Source organism: Homo sapiens, chromosome 10, assembly GCF_000001405.40.
Source record: "Homo sapiens chromosome 10, GRCh38.p14 Primary Assembly".
NCBI lineage: Eukaryota > Metazoa > Chordata > Mammalia > Primates > Hominidae > Homo > Homo sapiens.
The window spans coordinates 93,509,426-93,534,843 of NC_000010.11; the positions used below are offsets into that span (position 1 = coordinate 93,509,426).

General features: G+C 40.2%; 1 protein-coding gene and 1 pseudogene across 8 annotated transcripts in view, besides 1 other annotated feature; one reads left to right on the top strand and one right to left on the bottom strand.

Moving 5' to 3' along the window:
- The window catches only part of CEP55 (centrosomal protein 55), a 32,481-nt gene extending 12,814 nt beyond the window's left edge, over nucleotides 1–19,667 (top strand). For all 8 annotated transcript variants that reach the window (NM_018131.5, XM_017016373.2, XM_011539919.2 and 5 more), the window contains 5 exons: nucleotides 5,980–6,130; nucleotides 7,510–7,823; nucleotides 9,452–9,523; nucleotides 10,257–10,382; nucleotides 18,525–19,667. In NM_018131.5, coding sequence (NP_060601.4) covers nucleotides 5,980–6,130; nucleotides 7,510–7,823; nucleotides 9,452–9,523; nucleotides 10,257–10,382; nucleotides 18,525–18,728 — 867 coding nt within the window. In that variant the 3' untranslated portion in view covers nucleotides 18,729–19,667. The remainder of the gene's footprint in view (nucleotides 1–5,979; nucleotides 6,131–7,509; nucleotides 7,824–9,451; nucleotides 9,524–10,256; nucleotides 10,383–18,524) is intronic.
- On the bottom strand, nucleotides 1,123–1,255 carry RNA5SP323 (RNA, 5S ribosomal pseudogene 323; annotated as a pseudogene).
- Nucleotides 1,927–2,221: a silencer, noted in NCBI's record as "tiled region #3496; K562 Repressive DNase unmatched - State 12:CtcfO". NCBI's record gives its function as "represses a minimal TATA promoter and a strong SV40 promoter by Sharpr-MPRA in K562 cells {active_cell/tissue: K562}" and the evidence as "EXISTENCE:reporter gene assay evidence [ECO:0000049][PMID:27701403]".
- Nucleotides 19,668–25,418: the final 5,751 nt, after the last annotated feature.

Below are 25,418 nucleotides of genomic sequence, written 5' to 3' on the forward strand. Positions count from 1 at the left end.
CTGCTGCTGCTGGCCCTTGGACCACGCTTTGAGAACCATTAACATTATTATTATTATTATTATTATTATTATTATTTTGAGATGGAGTCTCACTCTGTCACTCAGGTTGGAGTGCAGTGGCGCGATCTTGGCTCATTGCAACCTCCGTCTCCTGGTTTCAAGTGATTCTCATGCCTCAGCCTCCTGAGTAACAGGGATTACAGGTGCGTGCCACCATGCCCAGCTGATTTTTGTACTTTTAGTAGAGACAGGGTTTCGCCATGTTGGCCAGGCTGGTCTCCAACTCCTGACCTCAGATGACCCACCTGCCTCAGCCTCCCAAAGTGCTGGGATTACAGGTGTGAGTCATTACACCCAGCCAGAACTTATATTTGAGGAGCAAGAAGTGGTTTAGCTCTGGTTTTCCCTTTGGAATTTCAGCAAATCTTTGAGACCAGGGGGAAAATTGTAGTTGGAGGACTTAGGGAACATGGAAAGAGACATCTCACTTCTTGCAGCACCGACACTGGCACATTATTTGGCTTTTGAGAGCTCAGCAGTTCTAGTTCCATCACCCTCTCAAAGTTCGCAGAAACTTCCTGTAGAAGCTTACCCACGTATTTTCAGAATTAGTATTTGTTATATTTAAATAAGCCCTAAAAGCTACGTACAGCTTCTTTAGGCCCAGTTGTATCATTGTTCAGTTACCATTTCGCTCTGGCCGACAGTTGAAATAATTACGTAGAGTTAATGTCGTAAGCATTGTCAAATGTCAGTACTTTTAGTATTTATTTAAGCATTATGTTAGTATAAACTAGACAAACCAAATAGCCAAAAGACAGTTTTAATAGGCGTTTCTTGCTCTTAAATTCAAATATCCGAATTTTAAGCATAGAACTTAGGGAAGATAAATAATAATTGTTTTAAAATTATTTTGTCTGCAAACATTCAAATTAACAGAAAAGTTACAAGAATGAGTATGATAACATATAATAACATATAACGCCCATATCCCCTTTACTAAAATTCAACCGTTGTTAACATGTTACCCCATTTTGCACTCTGTTTTTCCTCTTTCAACCCTCACCCACACACATATACATGTAGTATTTTTTTCTGAACCATTTGAGAATGAATTGTACATATCCACAGCCGTTTAAACCCATATACTTCAATGTGTGTTTGTTCTCCCATCCAAGTACTAAACAGACTCAACGCTGCTTAGCTTCCAAGATCAGCCAAGATCAGGCGCGTTCAGGGTGGTATGGCCGTAGACTTCAATGTGTATTTCTTAAGAACGAGGATACTCTTGCCCACAACTATAGCACAGATAGCAACTTTAATAAATTTAACATGGATACAATACTTCTATAATCTACCATTCCTACTGCAGTTTTGTCAATTGACCCACATTTTTTATTCCTCCAGTATAGGCTAACATTTTAATCTACGTTGGTTGGAATTTTTGTCTACAGAATATTTAGTGGATTCTTGTCAAACCTGGGCGAAGACCTTTATAGCATTCCACAGGACTTTTTTTTTTTTTTTTTTTGAGACAGAGTCTCACTCTGTCGCCGAGGCTGTAGTGCAGTGGCACGGTCTCAGCTCACTGCAACCTCTGCCTCCCTGGTTCAAGCGATTCTTCTGCCTCAGCCTCCAGAGTAGCTGGGATTACAGGCACCTGCCATTGCGCCTGGCTAATTTTTTTTTATTTTTAGTAGAGACGGGGTTTCACCATGTTGGCCAGGCTGGTCTTGAACTCCTGACCTCGTGATCTGCCTGCCTCAGCCTCCCAAAGTGCTGGGATTACAGGCGTGAGCCACCATGCCCGGACTCCACAGGACATGTTATTTTGCCCACTTTTGTTCTACATTTTTATTGGTAACTTGGAGGAAATTGTTAAATGCATGCCTAACAAACGTATAGATGACACAAAGCTGGAAGGCATATCTAATGCAATGATGTTTGACTCTAAAAACTCAAAACTAATACAATCAATATTTATGATAGCTATCAACTCCGTGTATTGATACTGATAGAAAGCCGATGCACACAGTGAGAAGAGGTGGCATAAGGAAATGTTTATTGAGGGAACATCGCCATCATGTGGCCTTTTAGAATACTACCCCTTGAATCTTCAACTAACATGTATTTTTGTTTCTCATACTTAAGTGATGTATGGTTCCTTTTTTTTTAATTAATTAATTTATTTTTTTGAGATGGAGTTTCGCTCCGTTGCCCAGGCTGGAGTGCAGTGGCACAATCTCAACTCACTGCAACCTCCACCTCCTGGGCTCAAGTGATTCTCTTGCCTCAGCGTCCGGAGTAGCTGGGACCACTGGCGCCCGCCACCATACCTGGCTAATGTTTTGTATTTTTAGTAGAGACGGGGTTTCACCATATTGGCCAGGCTGGTCTCGAACTCCTGACCTTGTGATATGCCCGCCTCGGCCTCCCAAAGTGCTGGGATTACAGGCGTGAGCCACTGCACCCAGCTGGTTCCTTTAAAAGAAAAGAAAAATAAAATAAATAAAATAAAATTGGGCTGGCGCAGTGGCTCACGTCTGTAATTCCAGCATTTTGGGAGGACAAGAAGGGCAGATCACCTGAGATCAGGAGTTCGAGACCAGCTGGGCCAACATGGTGATACCCCGTCTCTAATAAAAATACAAAAAAGCTGGGCGTGGTGGTACACGCCTGTAATCCCAGCTACTCGGGAGGCTGAGGCAGGAGAATTGCTGGAACCCGGGAGGCAGAGTTTCCAGTGAGCTGAAATCATGCCACTGTATTCCAGCCGGGGCCACAGAGCGAGACTCCGTTTCAAAAAAAAAAAAAATTGGCCGGGCTCAGTGGCTCATGCCTGCAATCCCAGCACTTTGGGAGGCCAAGGCGGGCAGATCACCTGAGGTCAGGAGTTGAGACCAACATGGTGAAACCCCATCTCTACTAAAAATACAAAATTAGCTGGGTGTGGTGGCGCATGCCTGTAATCCCAGCTACTCGGGAGGCTGAGGCAAGAGAATCGCTTGAACCCGGGAGGTGGAGGTTGCAGTGAGCCAAGATGGCACCATTGCACTCCAGCCTGGGCAACAAGAGTGAAACTCCGTCTCAAAAAAAAAAAAAAAAAAAAAAATTTCATGACCATTTAATTTTGACTTAAATTATTTGTATTAAAATACTACTTAAATGTGGACAAATGTAAAATTTAGTATAAAATTAGGTATCTTTAGTATCTAACACACTATAATTTATAGGTATTTGGATATACATGTGCATTGTGAGTCATACAGTGCTTCCTCTCTTATCAAGTAAATTTAAATCTGATCCTGGGTTTCTCATGAGTCCTTTCTTTTGAAAGATGCATAGGTTCTGAGTAAGAACCTCACTGGGGATGGCAGTGGAGCTGAATAAGAGAGTGACTACTGCAGCCTGTTTTAAGATAGGCCAAGAATCCTAGCAATCTTCTCAACTGTACTAAGTTCACTGATTATTTTTCCCAACTTTTATGATTATTTTTCCCAATTTTTATTACGAAAAATGTCAAACATACACAAAAGTTAAAAGAAAATACATTGAACAATCATATATCTACCACGAAGTTTCAATAAGACAGACTCTTTAAATCAAAAATCAAATTACTACAGTGAAAACAGCCATCCACAGAGCTTTACACTATTGACGATATATAATACAAAATGGATATACAATATCTCCACTTGACAAATGGACTCTTAAGCCATGTAAAGAGGACTACTGTTCCCTAATGGATGCAGAGAGAAAAGTGTCTGGTAAAGTGGCTGAGGCTCCTGGGCTAAGTCTTTGATTTTAGAGACTGTTTCTGTCTTCCTAATTCATTTGCTAATTCTATAGCAAACAGACACTGAAAATCCTTTAAGTGCCATACCCAGGAGCTTTGCTCAAGAGTTTGTAGGGTGCTAGTAGAAAGAGCCTAACAAAGCTTAGAGAAACTCTCTAGACTTAATAAGAGTTTCCATACATGTAGATCTTTCTGGATATGGGACTCAATCAATGTCTTTAAAGGATGGAAATTCTTACCGGAAAGCAGTTGCCCTGATAGACACCCAAAACCTTTAAGCTCCTTATGTCCTCTTCATTGTGGAACTAGAGGTCTGGAAAGAGTGGCTGCTATAAAAGGAAACACTATATTGTATTGTCAGATTGAAATTAAATAGAAGAATTTTATCTATGCATAATAGATCATTTTAAGAGCTACTGTGTTGTTCTCCAAATAGTAATCAGAAATCTGTATTCCACTCTTGAAAAAATGAGCTTTGCTGATACTGTTATAGGTTCTTCGAAGTTCAGATTACTATGAGCTCTGGATTTATAGCAAGTCCTCTGGTGTGAAATGAACTGGTTACAATCCCTGCCATACAAAGCTTCTGTCTTCACATGGCCTCATTCTCTATGTATATCTGTGTGTCTGCTCCTTTTTATAAGGATACTAGTCATTGGATTTAGGGCTCACCCTACTCCAGTATGGCCTCATTTTAACTAATTGCATCTGCAAAGCCTCCCCCTCCCCTTTTTTTTTTTTGAGACGGGGTCTCACTCTATTGTCTAGGTTGGAGTGCAGTGGCGCAATCTTGGCTCACTGCAACCTCCGCCTCCCGCATTCAAGTGATCTGCTACCTCAGCCTCCCAAGTAGCTGGGACTGCAGGTACGTGCCACCATGCCCGGCTAAAAAATAGAGACAGGGTTTTGCCATGTTGGCCAGGCTGGTCTTGAACTCCTGGCCTCAAGTAATCCGCCCGCCTCGGCCTCCCAAAGTGCTGGGATTACAGGTGTGAGCCACTGCCCAGCCCACAGACCCCATTTCTGAATAAGGTCATATTCTGAGGTTTCAAGTGGACATGAATTTTGGGGGACATTATTCAACTCACTGTAAGTATGAAACCCCTATACAAACAGGTGAGTGACGGCAGCTTGGAGTTTTTAATTGGGTTATAAAAGATCATATAAAGGATGAAAGTTGGTAGTAAAGAGAGAAGGTAGCTGTTAAGTTTGATCCTCTAAAGAAGACACTGAGATGATGTTAGGAGTGCAGACGGTTTATTGGGGAGCAAGATCTGTGCAAGGAAAAAGGAAGTAGTTATGCCAGGGAGACCATCAGACCATGATGAAAACCTAACAAGGTCTCTGTCACCCCATGGGGGGCTCCAGAGCAGAGAGTGCTGAAAAGCAGAGTCCTCGTTGGGCAGCAATAGTTAGGCACTTGTTCAGTTGTTGGCTGGGGCCAATCCAGCTCAGCTCAAAAGCTGACAGGGACTTGAAGGAATTAACAGATGGAGGCTGTCAGCTAATCAGCTAATCACTCACCATGCAGCTGGGCAGAGATCCTCTTTTTTTTGTTTGTTTTTTTGAGAGACGCAGTTTCACTGGAGTTTCCAGGCTGGAGTGCAGGGGCATGATCTCAGCTCACTGCCACCTCCACCTCCCGGGTTCAAGTGATTCTCCTGCCTCAGCCTCCTGAGTAGTTAGGATTACAGGCACGCGCCACCATGCCTGGCTAATTTTTGTATTTTTATTAGAGACAGGGTTTCACCATGTTGGCCAGGCTGGTCTTGAACTCCTGACCTCAGGTGATCCACCACCCTCGGCCTCTCAAAGTGCTGGGATTACAGGCGAGAGCCACCGCACCCAGCCAGCTGGGCAGGGCTCTTGAAGGGGGATTCTGAGCAGTTCATCTCCATGTCTGTCATAAAACGTGTTTTAGTTTACAGAGAATGACATATACGCACACACAAAGCAAGTTGTGTACTGAAAAAAGCAAACAAATGAACTTAATCCCACATAAACTACGATGGTGTCATGTTGTTATGTATTCTGAAGGCATGTAACATAGAATGGTTGCCCAGAATTAGTCTATGAGCCATAGAGTTTTTGTTGGAAAAGACTACATCACTTGGACTCTCTTGCCCATTTTAAGATTTTGTTTTTTTATTTTACTGTTGATTTTCTTTCATCTTCCCATTAAGGCTCTGGAGAAAAATCAGCAGTGGCTCGTGTATGATCAGCAGCGGGAAGTCTATGTAAAAGGACTTTTAGCAAAGATCTTTGAGTTGGAAAAGAAAACGGAAACAGCTGCTCATTCACTCCCACAGCAGACAAAAAAGCCTGAATCAGAAGGTACTGACTGGTATAAAAATGTTCTCTAGGGATAGGCCTGACATTTTCCAAAAGGAATGATTCATCAAATTTAGATTTTTATAGATATGTGTTAGAAAGTAAAATAAGAGCAAGTCTTATAGCCCTGAAGTAAGAAATACCATTTTTGCAAGTTTTATTTCCTAACGTTTTCAGATCAAAAGAAAGTACCAACACAGGCTAATGGGTGATCTTTGGCAGTTCTGAAATCACATTCAGTTCTCTCTACCCATGAATGTCCTTCCCCTTTTTCAAAGTCCTTCTCCAGCTTTTACTTCCCCCAGAGTTGGCCTTGTCACAATTCTCTTTTCACTTTGCTTCCCTTCAGCACTTATTCATATCAACCCCAGGAGAAAGAATGCCTTTTTTAGATGATCCTTAAATCATTTGAACTTCAGGTATAGAATTGAGATGAAATTTCTCATTCACGATGCTGTCTTTTTGCCAAGCACTTTGCAGTTTCCCTTACATAGATCTTAGTGGAGTTTTAGAGCAACCCTAAGAGGCGGGGCAGGAAAGGTCAGTATTCTCATTTTACAGATGAAGAAATAGGTTTAGCAATTCTAGATGACAAGCTAAGAAAAGAAAAATGAGAAACTCCATGCAATGCTCTCCTTAAAAGACTGACAGTTTGGAGGGGACCAAAGCCTTGAATTTTATAGAGAAGTCTAAAGAAAGGGGAACAAGACTCATAAGATTGGAGAATCATATTTGAATACTTAAAACAAAGCTAATGCTAAAAAGAAACTATAAATGTCTCTGGAGGCACTTCAAAGCTGTCAGCCCTAATGGCACTAAGTTGCTTCTATAAAATATGTGCTTATGTAAAAGCAGGATTTTAGTTATGGGCTAAGTCTAATTTCTTTTCTTTGGTAATACAGTTCTCTCTCTCTCTCTCTCTCTTTCTCTGTGTGTCTGTTTTATCAAAGCAATATAAGCACTTGTTAGAATAATGTAATAGTTAAGAAGGACCTTGCCCTGTCTTTCCCATCCCAATCCCCGTTTCTTCCTCCCATCAGGCAACTGCTCTTAATATTTCTATTTTTAATTTTGATAGTTATCTCCACATATAAATAATGAGCTTGTGTTCCTATTTGTTGATTGAACTTCTTGAGACTTTCCCTCCCAACAGAATAGATGTTACTGTTTTTAGTTCTTCTATTTGTGAGTTTTATAACTTCAAATAGTATACCTGAACTTGTTTTTTATTTCATCAAATATCAACCATAGTCCCTATCTCTTGACTTTTCATGTTGTAAACTAAGGAAATAGTGTGATTCATTTAGATGTTTGATGTTTCTCTTTTCAGGAATATTATTTATTTTATAAAGTGAGTTGTGCCGTAATGTTGTTTGTCATAGGTTATCTTCAAGAAGAGAAGCAGAAATGTTACAACGATCTCTTGGCAAGTGCAAAAAAAGATCTTGAGGTTGAACGACAAACCATAACTCAGCTGAGTTTTGAACTGAGTGAATTTCGAAGAAAATATGAAGAAACCCAAAAAGAAGTTCACAATTTAAATCAGCTGTTGTATTCACAAAGAAGGGCAGATGTGCAACATCTGGAAGATGATAGGCATAAAACAGAGAAGATACAAAAACTCAGGGAAGAGAATGATATTGCTAGGGGAAAACTTGAAGAAGAGAAGAAGAGATCCGAAGAGCTCTTATCTCAGGTAAACTTAACCAGATCCATAATTCAGAGTGTTCACCGAACACTTTCTAAGTGTCAGGGACTATTTGACCACTAGAGAACTGGCTAGGGACAAAACAAATTCCTGCCCCTCATGGGAGTTATATTCCAGAACAGAAACAGACCATAAACAATAAATAAGGAAACTAAAGAAAATGCAACAGGGTGACATGACAAAGGGAAATTGGGGACCAGTGGAGGCCTCTCTGAGGAGATGGCATTTGGACAAAGACCTGATGATGAGGAGGACCCAGTGAGGTGGGTGACTTTTCCTCTCAATGGAGGAAATTGTACACACAAAGGCTCTGAGTGAGGAGGAGGTCAGTATATGTGAGAAGCCAAAAGAAGAAGTGAAGTAATGAGAGGAATCGAGGCTGATTCCTAGACTGGCATCTTAATGGTGATGATATGTGCTCAAGTGAATTCACATGGCATCTTCCATGTTCTTGTTATGCTCATAGCCTTATGCTATGGTATCATAATAATGTTGGAGTTACTACGTTAGGATTATTGGAATTGAACAGTACTTTGATGGAACTCTTTAATTTAGATTTTGCTTTGCAGCCTGGCATCATGGAAGGAACATTATTTGGAATCCATGCCTAGTCTCTAGTCCAGGATATATGGCCTTAGGCAAATCACCTAACTTCTCTGACTACTCACTGGTTATTCCCTTGTCAAATTAATAATAACCTCTGCTTGCCATATAGGGCTTTGGTGAGCGTCAGTTGAGAGAAGGTAAAAGTGCTTTGTAAACTAAGCGAGGTAAATGCTAGTTATTGCTACTATTTTAATAATAATTTTTAACAGTCCTACAAAAGTTGAGGGTGCTGGTGATGGGACAGTAACAAGTCCATCTATAACATTTGCCATCTTAGTCTTTTTTTTCTTTTTTTTTTTCTGAGACAGGGTCTTGCTCTGTCGCCCAGGCTGGAATGCAATGGCGTAATCTCAGCTCACTGTAACCTCCACCTCCTGTCTTCAAGTGATTCTTGTGCCTCAGCCTCCTGAGTAGCTGGGATTACAGGTGCCCACCACCACGGCTGGCCAATTTTTATATTTTTAGTAGAGATGGGGTTTCACCATGTTGGCCAGGCTGGTCTCAAACTCCTGACCTCATGTGATCCACCTGCCTTGGCCTCCCAAAGTGCTGGGATTACAGGTGCAAGCCACTGTGTCCAGCCTGCCATCTTAGTCTTTACCACTCACACTTCTTCTGTCTACAGGTATGAGCAGTGATACTAGGGAGAGATTAAGTCTGCTGATTAAATTTTGCTTCAGCTCTGGCTAAGGGCCCAGCACTGCCACCCATGTTATCCTACTCAGAAGTGTCAGAACCTCCAGGAAAGGGGGCATGGCTGCTGCAGAGTTCAGTGCTGTTTATCAGCATTCAGTCTGTGTGCCTCAGGGAACTCTCGGCAAGGGCGGTGGTATACTGCTTAGCTGCTGGCATAGATAGCCATCAGATGGCCAGCTGGAATGATTCACCCCTGACTAGCAGGTGTTGTCCTGGTTAGAGATGTGAGACTTGTGATGTGAGCTTTCCGTGCATCCCAGGTCAAGCCGGAAAAGGTTGGATGTGACAGCATTGGTTCTCTTTATGTCCTACAGGTCCAGTTTCTTTACACATCTCTGCTAAAGCAGCAAGAAGAACAAACAAGGGTAGCTCTGTTGGAACAACAGGTACTCATTCGGGTTGCTTCTAAATTCAATTCTGCCTGTTAGAAAATGCAGTTTTTCCTCATGTTTATGCTGTTCTATGGAGAACTGTTTGAAAGTTGTGAAAAGTGTCTTTAAAAGACTTCAATAAAAGTCTTTCTTCTTCAATAAAAAAGATATTTCAAGAGACTCTGCTAGCCACTTATTCCTGTTGCTGACCTTAGGCTAAACAGATTCTTGAGGTGTGATGGCAGTTTTCTTGACAGGTAGATGTTGGCCTTGGCAAATTTTGCTCTTCCCCAGTGGCTGTAGCTCCTAGCCTAACAATGTCTCCTAAGTAGGGCTACCTTATAACTTCAAGCAGAACTTGGAGAGACACCATTTAGTCTCAGAATGTATTATAAATGGTGTAAAGCAGAGATTTTTAGTATATTCCAAACCAGGGAATAGCTATCTCTTTCCCTTCTCCTTCTTCCCCCTTAAAAAAGGTGGATAGGGAGGAGTAATTCTAATCAACAACTTCTTAAGCTGCTCTTCATTCACCTATACCTCAGCGTTGGCTTTGCTCCTTGGATAAACCAAATCCTCAGCCATAAGCTGCCTCGTTTATTAACATTTCATGGTGCTTAGGTGAATTCTTGCTACGATGGTACAATAAATATTTTCTTCATGTGCTAATAAAAAAATGTGAGCATCCAGTCAAGAGAACTAGACAGTCTGTATCAGCTGTAATGGTCTTGTTCTGGGCCTTTTCCAGATGCAGGCATGTACTTTAGACTTTGAAAATGAAAAACTCGACCGTCAACATGTGCAGCATCAATTGCATGTAATTCTTAAGGAGCTCCGAAAAGCAAGAAATCAAATAACACAGTTGGAATCCTTGGTGAGTCTGGAATGATTAAACTAAAATTTGTCTTCGTCTTCCATTTATATACCAAATCAGTTCCGAACTTAGGAGGATACAGCTTAACACACAGCTAGCTGTATCTCAAATCAGTAGGTAGAGCCTCTGCCTCATTTGAAGCAACTGCCCTTTGAGCATCAATTCAGAGGACATGAAAGAGGGACATGATCACATCTGGAAACATTCCCCCAACTACCCCAGCTGCTGTGATGCTGGAGGCACTAAATAGTGCCTGAGCTGGGGTCAAAAGGGTAGAATAGAGGGTAGTCACAGAATCCTGAACTGAAATTGTGTTTATCTATTAAAAAAGAAAGAAAGGCTGGGCACGATGGCTTATACCTTTAATCCCAGCGCTTTGGGAGGCCAAGGCAGGCGGATCATGAGGTCAGGAGTTGGAGACCAGCCTGACCAACATGGTGAAACCCTGTCTCTACTAAAAATACAAAAAATTAGCCGGGCGTGGTGGCGGGTGCCTGTAACCTCAGCTACTTGGGAGGCCGAGGCAGGAGAATCACTTGAACCCGGGATGCAGAGGTTGCAGTGGGCTGAGACTGAGCCACTGCACTCCAGCCTGGGCAGCAGAGCAAGACTCTGTCTCAAAAAAAAAAAAAAAAGAAAAAGAAAAAAATGCTGTTTTTAGGGATAATGGACTATTACTGTTAATATGCTTTTTAGATGTATTATGAGGTTTGTGTGAGTCACTCTGAAAACATAATCTTTTAAAACATGAACCTTTTAAATAATATTGTTTCTATGATGAAATGGTTTTTCACTTACTTATTCTCACCTTACTAATAAGCTTTTGGACCAAACTTGTTGGGGGTCTGCATTTGAATATATGTCTGTCCCACTAGTACATATTTTAAATTTTATTCTACTACTATAGAATACTTGGAGACAGTGAAATGTTACAAATATGATTCCTCAGTTTTCAAAGGAGGAAAAAAAAACAATGATAAAAGTAAAAATCACTTGTAACTTCTGTATGAATAAAAGAAAGAAAATATATTTTTGGCTCTGTTCTTAAGTATATAATTGATTTTACCCATTTATAATATTTGAAATGAAAATTTATAATTCATTTTTGTTATTGACCATTCAAAGCTTAGGGAGCAGAGGGTATGCAAAAGAATTTGTAATTTTGTGGGGGCGGTTCCAAGATGGCTGAATAGGAACAGCTCCAGTCTACAGCTCCCAGCGTGAGCGACACAGAAGACGGATGATTTCTGCATTTCCAACTGAGGTACTGGGTTCATCTCAGTGGGGACTGTCAGACAGTGGATGCAGCGCACCGAGCGTGAACCGAAGCAGGGTGAGGCATCGCCTCACCCAGGAAGCGCAAGGGGTCAGGGAATTCCCTTTTCTAGCCAAGGAAAGGGGTGACTGACGGCACCTGGAAAATCAGGTCATTCCCACCCTAATACTGCGCTATTCCGACGGTCTTAGCAAACAGCACACCAGGAGATTATATCCCACGCCTGGCTTGGAGGGTCCTACACCTACGGAGCCTTGCTCATTGCTACCACAGCAGTCTGAGATCAAACTGCAAGGTAGCAGTGAGGCTGGGGGAGGGGTGCCCGCCATTGCTGAGGCTCGAGTAAGTAAACAAAGCGGCCGGGAAGCTCGAACTGGGTGGAGCCCACCGCAGCTCAAGGAGGCCTGCCTGCCTCTGTAGACTCCAACTCTGGGGGCAGGGCATAGCCAAACAAAAGGCAGCAGAAACCTCTGCAGACTTAAATGTCCCTGTCTGACAGATTGGAAGACAGTAGTGGTTCTCCCAGCACGCAGCTTGAGATCTGAGAACGGACAGACTGCCTCTACAAGTGGGTCCCTGACCCCCGTGTAGCCTAACTGGGAGGCACCCCCCAGTAGGGGCAGACTGACACCTCACACAGCCGGGTACCCCTCTGAGACAAAACTTCCAGAGGAGCAATCAGGCAGCAACATTTGCTGTTCACCAATATTCGCTGTTCTGCAGCCTCCGCTGCTGATACCCAGGCAAACAGGGTCTGGAGTGGACCTCTGGCAAACTCCAAAAGACCTGCATCTGAGGGTCCTGACTGTTAGAAGGAAAACTAACAAACAGAAAGGACATCCACACCAAAACCCCATCTGTATGTCACCATCATCAAAGACCAAAGGTAGATAAAACCACAAAGATGGGGAAAAAACAGCAGAAAAACTGAAAATTCTAAAAATCAGAGTGCCTCTCCTCCTCCAAAGGAACGCAGCTCCTCACCAGCAATGGAACAAAGCTGGATGGAGAATGAAGAGTTGAGAGAAGAAGGCTTCAGATGATCAAACTTCTCTGAGCTAAAGGAGGAAGTTCGAACCCGTGGCAAAGAAGTTGAAAACCTTGAAAAAAGATTAGATGAATGGCTAACTAGAATAACCAATGCAGAGAAGTCCTTAAAGGACCAGATGGAGCTGAAAATCACAGCACGAGAACAACATGACGAATGCACAAGCCTCAGTAGCCGATTTGATCAACTGGAAGAATGAGTATCAATGATGGAAGATCAAATGAATGAAATGAAGTGAGAAGAGAAGTTTTGAGAAAAAAGGATAAAAAGAAACGAACAAAGCCTCCAAGAAATATGGGACTGTGTGAAAAGACCAAATCTATGTCTGACTGGTGTACCTGAAAGTGACGAGGAGAATGCAACCAAATTGGAAAACACTCTGCAGGATATTATCCAGGAGAACTTCCCCAGTCTAGCAAGGCAGGCCAACATTCAAATTCAGGAAATACAGAGAATGCCACAAAGATACTCCTCGAGAAGAGCAACTCCAAGACACATAATTGTCAGATTCACCAAAGTTGAAATGAAGGAAAAAATGTTAAGGGCAGCCAGAGAGAAAGGTCGGGTTACCCACAAAGGGAAGCCCATCAGACTAACAGCTGATCTCTCAGCAGAAACTGTACAAGCCAGAAGAGAGTGGGGGGTCAATATTCAACATTCTTAAAGAAAAGAATTTTCAACCCAGAATTTCATATCCAGCCAGAGTAAGCTTCATAAGTGAAGGAAAAATAAAATCCTTTACAGACAAGCAAATGCTGAGAGATTTTGTCACCACCAGGCCTGCCCTACAAGAGCTCCTAAAGGAAGCACTAAACGTGGAAAGGAACAACCAGTACCAGCCACTGCAAAAACATGCCAAATTGTAAAGACCATCGAGGCTAGGAAAAAACTGCATCAAGTAAAGAGCAAAATAACCAGCTAACATCATAATGACAGGGTCAAATTCACACATAACAATATTAACCTTAAATGTAAATGGGCTAAATGCTACAATTAAAAGACACAGACTGGCAATTTGGATAAAGAGTCAAGACCCATCAGTGTGCTGTATTCAGGAAACCCATCTCACATGCAGTGACACACATAGGCTCAAAACAAAGGGATTGAGGAAGATCTACCAAGCAAATAGAAAACAAAAAAAGGCAGGGGTTGCAATCCTAATCTCTGATAAAACAGACTTTAAACCAACAAAGATCAAAACAGACAAAGAAGGACATTACATAATGGTAAAGGGATCAATTCAACAACAAGAGCTAACTATCCTAAATATATATGCACCCAATACAGGAGCACCCAGATTCATAAAGCAAGTCCTTAGAGACCTAAAAAGAGACTTAGACTCCCACACGATAATAATGGGAGACTTTAACACCCCACTGTCAACATGAGACAGATCCACGAGACAGAAAGTTAACAAGGATATCCAGGAATTGAACTCAGCTCTGCACCAAGCGGACCTAATAGACATCTACAGAACTCTCCACCTCAAATCAACAGAATATACATTCTTCTCAGCACCACACCGCACTTATTCCAAAATTGACCACATAGTTGGAAGTAAAACACTCCTCAGCAAATGTAAAAGAACAGAAATTATAACAAACTGTCTCTCAGACCACAGTGCAATCAAACTAGAACTCAGGATTAAGAAACTCACTCAAAACCGCTCAACTACATGGAAACTGAACAACCTGCTCCTGAATGACTACTGGGTACATAACAAAATGAAGGCAGAAATAAAGATGTTCTTTGAAACCAATGAGAACAAAGATGCAACATACCAGAATCTCTGGGACACATTTAAAGCAGTGTGTAGAGGGAAATTTATAGCACTAAATGCCCACAAGAGAAAGCAGGAAAGATCTAAAACTGACACCCTAACGTCACAATTAAAAGAACTAGAGAAGCAAGAGCAAACCCATTCAAAAGCTAGCAGAAGGCAAGAAATAACTAAGATCAGAGCAGAACTGAAGGAGATAGAGACACAAAAAAACTTTCAAAAAATCAATGAATCCAGGAGCTGGTTTTTTGAAAAGATCAACAAAATTGATAGACCGCTAGCAAGACTAATAAAGAAGAAAAGAGAGAAGAATCAAATAGACACAATAAAAAATGATAAAGGGGATATCACACCGATCCCACAGAAATACAAACTACCATCAGAGAATACTATAAACACCTCTACGCAAATAAACTAGAAAATCTAGAAGAAATGGATAAATTCCTCGACACATACACCCTCCCAAGACTAAACCAGGAAGAAGTTGAATCTCTGAATAGATCAATAACAGGCTCTGAAATTGAGGCAATAATTAATAGCTTACCAACCAAAAAGAGTCCAGGACCAGACAGATTCACAGCCGAATTCTACCAGAGGTACAAGGAGGAGCTGATACCATTCCTTCTGAAACTATTCCAAACAATAGAAAAAAAGGGAGTCCTCCCTAACTCATTTTATGAGGCCAGCATCATCCTGATACCAAAGACTGGCAGAGACACAACAAAAAAAGAGAATTTTAGACCAATATCCCTGATGAACATCGATGCAAAAATCCTCAATAAAATACTGGCAAACCAAATCCAGCAACACATCAAAAAGCTTATCCATCATGATCAAGTGGGCATCATCCCTGGGATGCAAGGCTGGTTCAACATACGCAAATCAATAAACGTAATCCAGCATATAAACAGAACCAACGACAAAAACCACATGATTATCTCAATAGATGCAGAAAAGGCCTTTGACAAAATTCAACAGCCCTTCATGCTAAAAACTCTCAATAAATTAGGTATTGATGGGACATATCTCAAAATAATAAGAGCTATTTATGACAAACCCACAGCCAATATCATACTGAATGGGCAAAAACTGGAAGCATTCCCTTTGAAAACTGGCACAAGACAGGGATGTCCTCTCTCACCACTCCTATTCAACATAGTGTTGGAAGTTCTGGCCAGGGCAATCAGGCAGGAGAAGGAAATAAAGGGTATTCAATTAAGAAAAGAGGAAGTCAAATTGTCCCTGTTTGCAGATGACATGATTGTATATCTAGAAAACCCCATCATCTCAGCCCAAAATCTCCTTAAGCTGATAAGCAACTTCAGCAAAGTCTCAGGATACAAAATCAATGTGCAAAAATCACAAGCATTCTTATACACCAATAACAGACAGAGAGCCAAATCATGAGTGAACTCTCATTCACAATTGCTTCAAAGAGAATAAAATACCTAGAAATCCAACTTACAAGGGATGTGAAGGACCTCTTCAAGGACAACTACAAACCACTGCTCAACAAAATAAAAGAGGATACAAACAAATGGAAGAACATTCCATGCTCATGGATAGGAAGAATCACTATTGTGAAAATGGCCATACTGCCCAAGGTAATTTATAGATTCAACGCCATCCCCATCAAGCTACCAATGACTTTCTTCACAGAATTGGAAAAAACTACTTTAAAGTTCATATGGAACCAAAAAAGAGCCCGCATCGCCAAGTCAATCCTAAGCCAAAAGAACAAAGCTGGAGGCATCACACTACCTGACTTCAAACTATACTACAAGGCTACAGTAACCAAAACAGCATGGTACTGGTACCAAAACAGAGATATAGACCAATGGAACAGAACAGAGCCCTCAGAAATAATGCCACACATCTACAACTACCTGATCTTTGACAAACCTGACAACAACAAGAAATGGGGAAAGGATTCCCTATTTAATAAATGGTGCTGGGAAAACTGGCTAGCCATATGTAGAAAGCTGAAACTGGATCCCTTCCTTACACCTTATACAAAAATTAATTCAAGATGGATTAAAGATTTACATGTTAGACCTAAAACCATAAAAACCCTAGAAGAAAACCTAGGCAATACCATTCAGGACATAGGTATGGGCAAGGACTTCATGTCTAAAACACCAAAAGCAATGGCAACAAAAGCCAAAATTGACAAATGGGATCTAATTAAACTAAAGAGCTTCTGCACAGCAAAAGAAACTACCATCAGAGTGAACAGGCATCCTACAGAATGGGAGAAAATTTTTGCAATCTACTCAACCTACAAAGGGCTAATATCCAGAATCTACAAAGAACTTAAACAAATTTAAAAGAAAAAAACAACCCCATCAAAAAGTGGGTGAAGGATATGAATAGACACTTCTCAAAAGAAGACATTTATGCAGCCAAAAGACACATGAAAAAAATGCTCATCATCACTGGCCATCAGAGAAATGCAAATCAAAACCACAATGAGATACCATCTCACACCAGTTAGAATGGCAATCATTAAAAAGTCAGGAAACAACAGGTGCTGGAGAGGATGTGGAGAAATAGGAACACTTTTACACTGTTGGTGGGACTGTAAACTAGTTCAACCATTGTGGAAGTCAGTGTGGCAATTCCTCAGGATCTAGAACTAGAAATACCATTTGACCCAGCCATCCCATTACTGGGTATATACCCAAAGGAGTATAAATCATGCTGCTATAAAGACACATGCACACGTATGTTTATTGTGGCACTATTCACAATAGCAAAGACTTGGAACCAACCCAAATGTCCAACAACGATAGACTGGATTAAGAAAATGTGGCACATATACACCATGGAATACTATGCAGCCATAAAAATGATGAGTTCATGTCCTTTGTAGGGACACGGATGAAGCTGGAAACCATCATTCTCAGCAAACTATCACAAGGACAAAAAATCAAACACCGCATGTTCTCACTCATAGGTGGGATTTGAACAATGAGAACACTTGGACACAGGAAGGGGGACATCACACCCCAGGACCTGTTGTGGGGTGGGGGGAGTGGGGAGGGATAGCATTAGGAGATATACCCAATGTAAATGATGAGTTAATGGGTGCAGCACACCAACATGGCACATGTATACATATGTAACAAACCTGCACATTGTGCACATGTACCCTAAAACTTAAAGTATAATTAAAAAAAAAAAAGAATTTGTAATTTTCCTGTACTTTGTTCCTGCTATCCACCCTCTTCACTGTGCTGTAAAATACTCATTTTTAACTACTCCAAGTTCTTAGAAAAAAAACACAAAAAAGGAAAGTCTCAAAGGTATGATAGAATATCTTAGTCATTTCTGTGTATAAGCTGTTTGAGCTGCTAAAATTGCTTGCTGCCTTTAATTTCCATGTAGTACTTTATTGCTGACGTTGCCTCTGTTTTACAAAACTAGCAAATTTAATCAGCCTTGCATATAGGCCTACCTAATATTCGACTCTGTGTCCTAATAAAACATATTCATATATACACCCAACTCCCATATCTGGGTAATTTGGATAATTACAGTAGTTATCTGGATAAATTCACAACTACCTCATATATTACCCTCATAATACTGATGAGCTGAAATTCAAAAGAAAATCTGTCTACAGTGCTGAAGCAGCTATAATACTTATGGAACAGTTAAAATTGCTGAACAGGCTGGGTGCAGTGGTTCATGCCTGTAATCCCAACACTTCGGGAGGCTGAGGTGGGCAGATCACTTGAGCTTAGGAGTTTGAGACCAGCCTGGGCAACATAGAATTAATTTTTTGTAGAATTTTCTATTTCTACAAAAAATAGAAATATTATCTGGACGTGGTGACATGTGCCTGTAGTCCCAGCTACTTAGGAGGCTGAGGTGAGAGGATTGCTTAAGCCTGGGAGGTCGAGGCTGCAGTGAGCCATGTTTGTGCCACTACACTCTGGCCTGGGTGACAGAGTGAGACTGCCTCAAAAAAAGAAAAAAAAAAAGCTGAACATTGGCCCTATTTACAAATTCTATTATTTGAAACTTATTTTTCAGAAACAGCTTCATGAGTTTGCCATCACAGAGCCATTAGTCACTTTCCAAGGAGAGACTGAAAACAGAGAAAAAGTTGCCGCCTCACCAAAAAGTCCCACTGCTGCACTCAATGAAAGCCTGGTGGAATGTCCCAAGTGCAATATACAGTATCCAGCCACTGAGCATCGCGATCTGCTTGTCCATGTGGAATACTGTTCAAAGTAGCAAAATAAGTATTTGTTTTGATATTAAAAGATTCAATACTGTATTTTCTGTTAGCTTGTGGGCATTTTGAATTATATATTTCACATTTTGCATAAAACTGCCTATCTACCTTTGACACTCCAGCATGCTAGTGAATCATGTATCTTTTAGGCTGCTGTGCATTTCTCTTGGCAGTGATACCTCCCTGACATGGTTCATCATCAGGCTGCAATGACAGAATGTGGTGAGCAGCGTCTACTGAGACTACTAACATTTTGCACTGTCAAAATACTTGGTGAGGAAAAGATAGCTCAGGTTATTGCTAATGGGTTAATGCACCAGCAAGCAAAATATTTTATGTTTTGGGGGTTTTGAAAAATCAAAGATAATTAACCAAGGATCTTAACTGTGTTCGCATTTTTTATCCAAGCACTTAGAAAACCTACAATCCTAATTTTGATGTCCATTGTTAAGAGGTGGTGATAGATACTATTTTTTTTTTCATATTGTATAGCGGTTATTAGAAAAGTTGGGGATTTTCTTGATCTTTATTGCTGCTTACCATTGAAACTTAACCCAGCTGTGTTCCCCAACTCTGTTCTGCGCACGAAACAGTATCTGTTTGAGGCATAATCTTAAGTGGCCACACACAATGTTTTCTCTTATGTTATCTGGCAGTAACTGTAACTTGAATTACATTAGCACATTCTGCTTAGCTAAAATTGTTAAAATAAACTTTAATAAACCCATGTAGCCCTCTCATTTGATTGACAGTATTTTAGTTATTTTTGGCATTCTTAAAGCTGGGCAATGTAATGATCAGATCTTTGTTTGTCTGAACAGGTATTTTTATACATGCTTTTTGTAAACCAAAAACTTTTAAATTTCTTCAGGTTTTCTAACATGCTTACCACTGGGCTACTGTAAATGAGAAAAGAATAAAATTATTTAATGTTTTAATATGTCTAGTGTATTCGTGTATATATAGATATTCTAAGATTCTTGTTTAAAAAAACAAATGTGTTGGACATAATCAAAATTCAAGATTTTCACAATAAAATATTTAAGACATAATTCAAAGCACATTATCAAAAAAGTGAAAATACAACCAACAGAAAGAGAAAAAATATTTTCAAACCATGTATCTGATAAGGGTCTAGTATCCAGAATATATAAAGCACCATTACAACTCAATAAATAGATATTCTAAGATTCTTACCCCCAAGGACTTATCAGGGGTTACAGATTAACACTCAGTGTAAGATGATAAGGCAGTTAAGGATACATCAGAACCGAAAACTATGTGAAGGAGTTAGAAGGAGTAGATGCTTTCACGCATCTTTCTTAAATAAATAACTCTTTATCAATAAATATGAATTTGAGTTATTTGTTACAGAGGCAAAACAATAAGCATGCCAAATTATATAGGGTTTTTTTTTCTAACCATAGAAATTATACAGATCTGTTGATGGAAATAAAATTTTGCCATTACTGTTAATCCCAGGCTCACAAGATCTTCAACTACAGTTGAACAAAAGATATGGACATATTCAGCCGCATAGTTCTTATTCCGATCCACAATGTTATAGCAAAGACCATAGTATTAAATCATAAATATATGCCATAAGGAAGTTGCTCCCCTTACAACTTTAAAGCAAGCCAGTATTACCTCTAGTTTGTAGATGTGGAACATGTCTTGGTCATCCAGTGAGCAGTGGAGTCAAGCAGAACCCAGGCCTTTGGTCCGTGCCTGTATGGAACAAGAGATGTGGTCTCATGGGATAACTGGCCAGGACATAAACCATAACAGAAGCGCCAGCCTGATGACCTCTGAAGTTTGATTCCCAGAGCCACAGGGTGATCTGGAGTTTGTTTCAAGACTCTTGTACTTTCTGTGTTTCACTGGAGGGCTGTACTTAGCTTTCCCTGCTCACTTTAGCCACCTACATCTGGGCACCAATATCAAAAAAATAACTTTGGAAAAATTGGGCAGGCTTCTTGTGGAGCTCTGCTACTGTAGAGGGGGAATTTATATATTTCCGAAGAGTAGATGATTTAGAGCAGGAAGGATTCTACTTTCCCAGATCATGTTACCAAAGCAAGGGTCAATAAAAGGCATCTTCAAGACCTGAAAATCTTCAAGGTTCTCATAATTGAAGACTTTTTTTTCCCCCTTCACTGTCCACCTTTTTTCTTGGCAGATAACCGCTTACCCTTAGGGCATGTTTTCTTCTGTGGGACTGTAAACTACCAGAAACCATGCTAGATACTTTAACTACTTATACTCATTAGCTCTTCCTTGCAAATCTGTGAAGTAAAGTGCTAGCACCAGCACCATTTTTCAGATGAGAAAACTAAGGCTTGCAGAGAGTGAACAATTTGCCCAAGGTCACCACTGATAAGTAGTAAAGAAAGGATATAAACTCAGCTCAGTGTGTCGCAGAGTTCATCTCTCTCCATTGTACAGTTACATTCCCAACCAACATGCTGGGGCTGCCATGCCAGGATTACTCCACTCTGTTGCTTTTTATTAAAAAATTATGTTACATATTTTATTACACAATTATTTTACATAAAATAAAATGTACAGATCAATGAGTTTTGACAGATGTATATATATATCATTGTAATCATCAGCCAAATAAAGTTATAGACTCTACCAACATTTCTGAAAGTTTCTTTAATTACTTCTAGTCCAGAATCCCCTCCTCCCAGAGGCAATCTAATTTATTTTTATTTTTATTTATGTATTTATTTTTAGAGACAGGGTCCCCTCTGTCACCCAGGCTGGAGTGCAGTGGTACAGTCATAGCTCACTGCAGTCTTAAACTCCTGGGCTCAAGTGATCCTCCTGCCTCAGCCTCCCAAGTACCTAGGACTGCAAGCATATGCCACCATGCCTTGCTAATATTTTTAATTTTTTATAGAGACATGGTCTCATTGTGTTGTCCAGTCTGGTCTCAAACTCCTGGGCAAATGCAATTCTCCTGCCTTGGCCTCCCAAATTGTTGGGATTACAGGTGTGAGTCACCGCACCTGGCCCTATTTATCTTAACACATGCTAAATTAATAACTACACTAATTAACTAAATTACTAAATGCCACAATAAATTAACAAAATTAATAAGACTAATGCTGGAGTGTTATTGTGTCTTGAAATCAGGGTAAGTCCCCCAACTTTATTCTTCAAGAATGTCTTGACTAATATAGGACATTTCCATTTTCATATACATTTTAAAATCAGCTTGTCAATTTTTACAAAAGTTTCCTGGAATTTCCATTGGGATAGTATATATCTATAGATTAATTTCTCAAAAATTGACATCTGCACAATCCAGAAACATTTCTTCATTTAGTTCTTTTTTAGCTGCTCTCAGCAATGTTTACAGCTTTCAGTGCATAGAGCTTAGCCTTTTATTAAGTTTATTCTTGAAAGTCTGAGTTTTATGCTATTATAAATGGCCTTTTAAAAATTTATTTTCCAGCCAGGCGCAGTGGCTTACACCTGTAATCCCAGCACTTTGGGAGGCCGAGGTGGGTGGATCTCTCGAGGTCAGGAGTTCGAGACCAGCCTGGCCAACATGGTGAAAACCCATCTCTACTGAAAATACAAAAATTAGCCAGGAGTGGTGGTGTGCACCTGTAATTCTAGCTACTGGAAAGGCTGAGGCACAAGAATCACTTGAACCCAGGAAGTAGAGGTTGCAGTGAGCCAAGATCATGCCACTGCACTCCAGCCTGGGCAACAGAGTGAGACTCTGTCTCAAAAAAAAAAAATTATTTTCTAATTGTTTGTTGCTAGGGTTAGAAATGCAACTGATTTTTGTATATTGACCTAGTAGCATCCTGGAATCTTATTAATTTATTAATTAATTTTAGTATTTTCACCTCTCTGAATTCAAATATTGTATTTTACAGTTCTAGAACAGTGCTGTCCAATGGAAATATGCAAGCCTCATGTAATTTTGTTTTCCAGTAGCCACATTAAAAAATACTAAAATAGACAAGGGATGGTGGCTCACTTCTGTAATCCCAGTACTTTGGGACGCCAAAGCAGACAGATCACTTGAGCCCAGGAGTTTGAGACCAGCCTGGGAAACATGGCGAAACTCTTTGTACCAAAAAAAAAAAAAAGAAAGAAAAAAAAAATTAACTGGGAATGGTGGTGCATGCCTGTAGTCCCAGCTACTCAGGAGGCTAAGGTGAGAGGATCACTTGAGCCCAGGAGCTGGAAATTGCAGTGAGTCAAGATCATGCCACTGCACTCCAGCCTGAGTGACAGAGTGACACCCTGTCTCAAAAAAAAAAAAAAAAAAAGAAAAGAAAAGTAAAACAACAACAAAAGTAGTAAAATAGCCAGGTGCAGTGGCTCATACCTGTAATCCCAGCAGTTTGGGAGGCCAAGGGAGGAGGATCACTTGAAGCTAGGAGTTCGAGCCTGGCCTGGACAGCAAGGAGACCCCTCCATCTCTACAAAAAATAAAAAAAGTAAAATAATTGGTGTAGTTAATTTTAATAATATGTTTCATTTAACTATACATATCCCAAATATTATCACTTAACATATAATCAATATAAAAACTATTAATGAGCTATTTTATGCTAAATCTTTGAAATTTAGTATTTCAAAATTACTGCACATCTCAATTTGGACTAACCACACTTGAAATGCTCAATAGCCACATTGTGGCTGTCGTGGCTAAGGGCTACCATGTTGGATAGCATGGATCTAGGATCTCTCTTCTTTTACTAGAGTTCCCATTTCTCTTCTGAGTTCTCTATTCACCCATTCTGTCCATTTCTTCCTGTAAATTCTTTAGCATATTCATAGCAGCTTAAAACAGTTAACATAGATGCTAATTCCAACATCTAGGTCATCTATGTGTCTATTTTTATTGGCTAATTTTTCTCATTATGGGTCACATTTTTTGTGTTTCTATACATGTCTATTAAATTTTTTAGTATAGGAGTGACATTGTAGATGATACATTACAGAAATTCTGGATTATTTTCCTTTTGAGAATATACAGTTGTGTTCTTGGAGACTCAAATTGCCACATTTGTTTAGGCTGTATTTCACCATGCACTGTCAGGACTAAATAATACTCATGGGGGAAAACCAGTTAAATATAGAACTCACTTTGCTTCCCTTCTTTCAAGAGCCATGGCCATTCCAGTGGCTGCCTGCCTTTGGTTGTTCTTCATTGCCATCAACAGTTGTTTTTCATATTTTGTCCAGAGTTTATAATTGTTATTGAATAGTGGGTTAGTCTGATAAAAGCTACACTGTCATTACCAGAACTGGAACCATCTACTGGTTTTGGTATTTTCTGTTGTTGTTGTTTTGTTTTCCTTTTTTATTTTATTTTATTTTTTTTCTTAAGAAGTCTGTTGTATTTGAGCAGGAGTTTATGCTAGGAGCCATATTCTGTGTGTGCATGTCCAGCCTCCAACAAACCCACAAACTGGTGATTCCTTGGTGACTTTAATATCAGCAAACGTAACTCTCGTCCTCAGATAGAAGGCAGATGGAGGTAAATGGAGAAGGGAGGGAAGGATAAATGAGTTATAGGATCCATTGCTTTCACCAAGAGCTTAATGTTTTAAAGGCAGGGGCTACATGATAGAAAAATACATTCAAAGAAGAGAACTTCATGGGAAAAACTAAAACCTCTGAGTTTCCCACTATGTGCTAAATTTGTGGTTATGTGTTACTTTGTCAAGGGCTACAGCTAGCCACTTGGATTTTTTGTTTTTTTGTATTTTTTTTTTTTTTTGAGATGGAGTTTCACTCTTGTTGCCCAGGCTGGAGTGCAATGGCATGATCTTGGCTCACCGCGACCTCCACCTCCTGGGTTCAAGCGAGTCTCCTGTCTCAGTCTCCCGAGTAGCTGGGATTACAGGCATGTGCCACCATGACTGGCTAATTTTATATTTTTATTAGAGACGGGGTTTCTCCATGTTGGTCAGGCTAGTCTGAAACTCCTGACCTCAGGTGATCCGCCCGCCTTGGCCTCCCAAAGTGCTGGGGTTACAGGCGTGAGCCACCGCACCCGGCCCAGCTAGCTACTTTGACAGCCAAGAAAACTGAAGCAAATCCCCCACTAACATTTAAAAAACAACAACAAAAAGACATTCCTGGGTTTCCAACCCAAATCCATAGCCAAAGCCCATCTTCTTTCTACCATGCCAGAAAACCCCTTACATATTCTCCAAACTCAGTAACCTTAAGTGAAATGTGTAAAGTGAAATAACCTTAAATGAGCCTTAATAAAACCTTAACTAGAGTAATAGAATTTTTCTTAGGTTAGAGAGAAAAACCGAAAACACCAACTGGTCTCTTGCACCCCTCTGATCTGAGAAGAAGGCCTGCCTTGTTCAACCCCTCCATCTGTTACCTGGATTCCCACTATGCCAGTTCTCTAACATCTTTACTTTCATTCTTCAAACATTTATTAAATGCAAAGCTCTGGGCTCAGTATTAGCGATAAGCAGCTTGATAAAGATAAAATGCAGCTTGATCTTCACAGTCTAGCGGAAGAGACCAATATCTAAACAGGTAAGTATAATACATTGTAGAAAGTGCTATAATCAAGGTATATATAGGGTAGAGGAGTTTATTTAAACTCTGGTTTATTCTAACAAAGATCAAAGATCTGACTCTTCAAAGACACAAATCTTAGACTAACATAGAATAAAAAATAAGTAGGA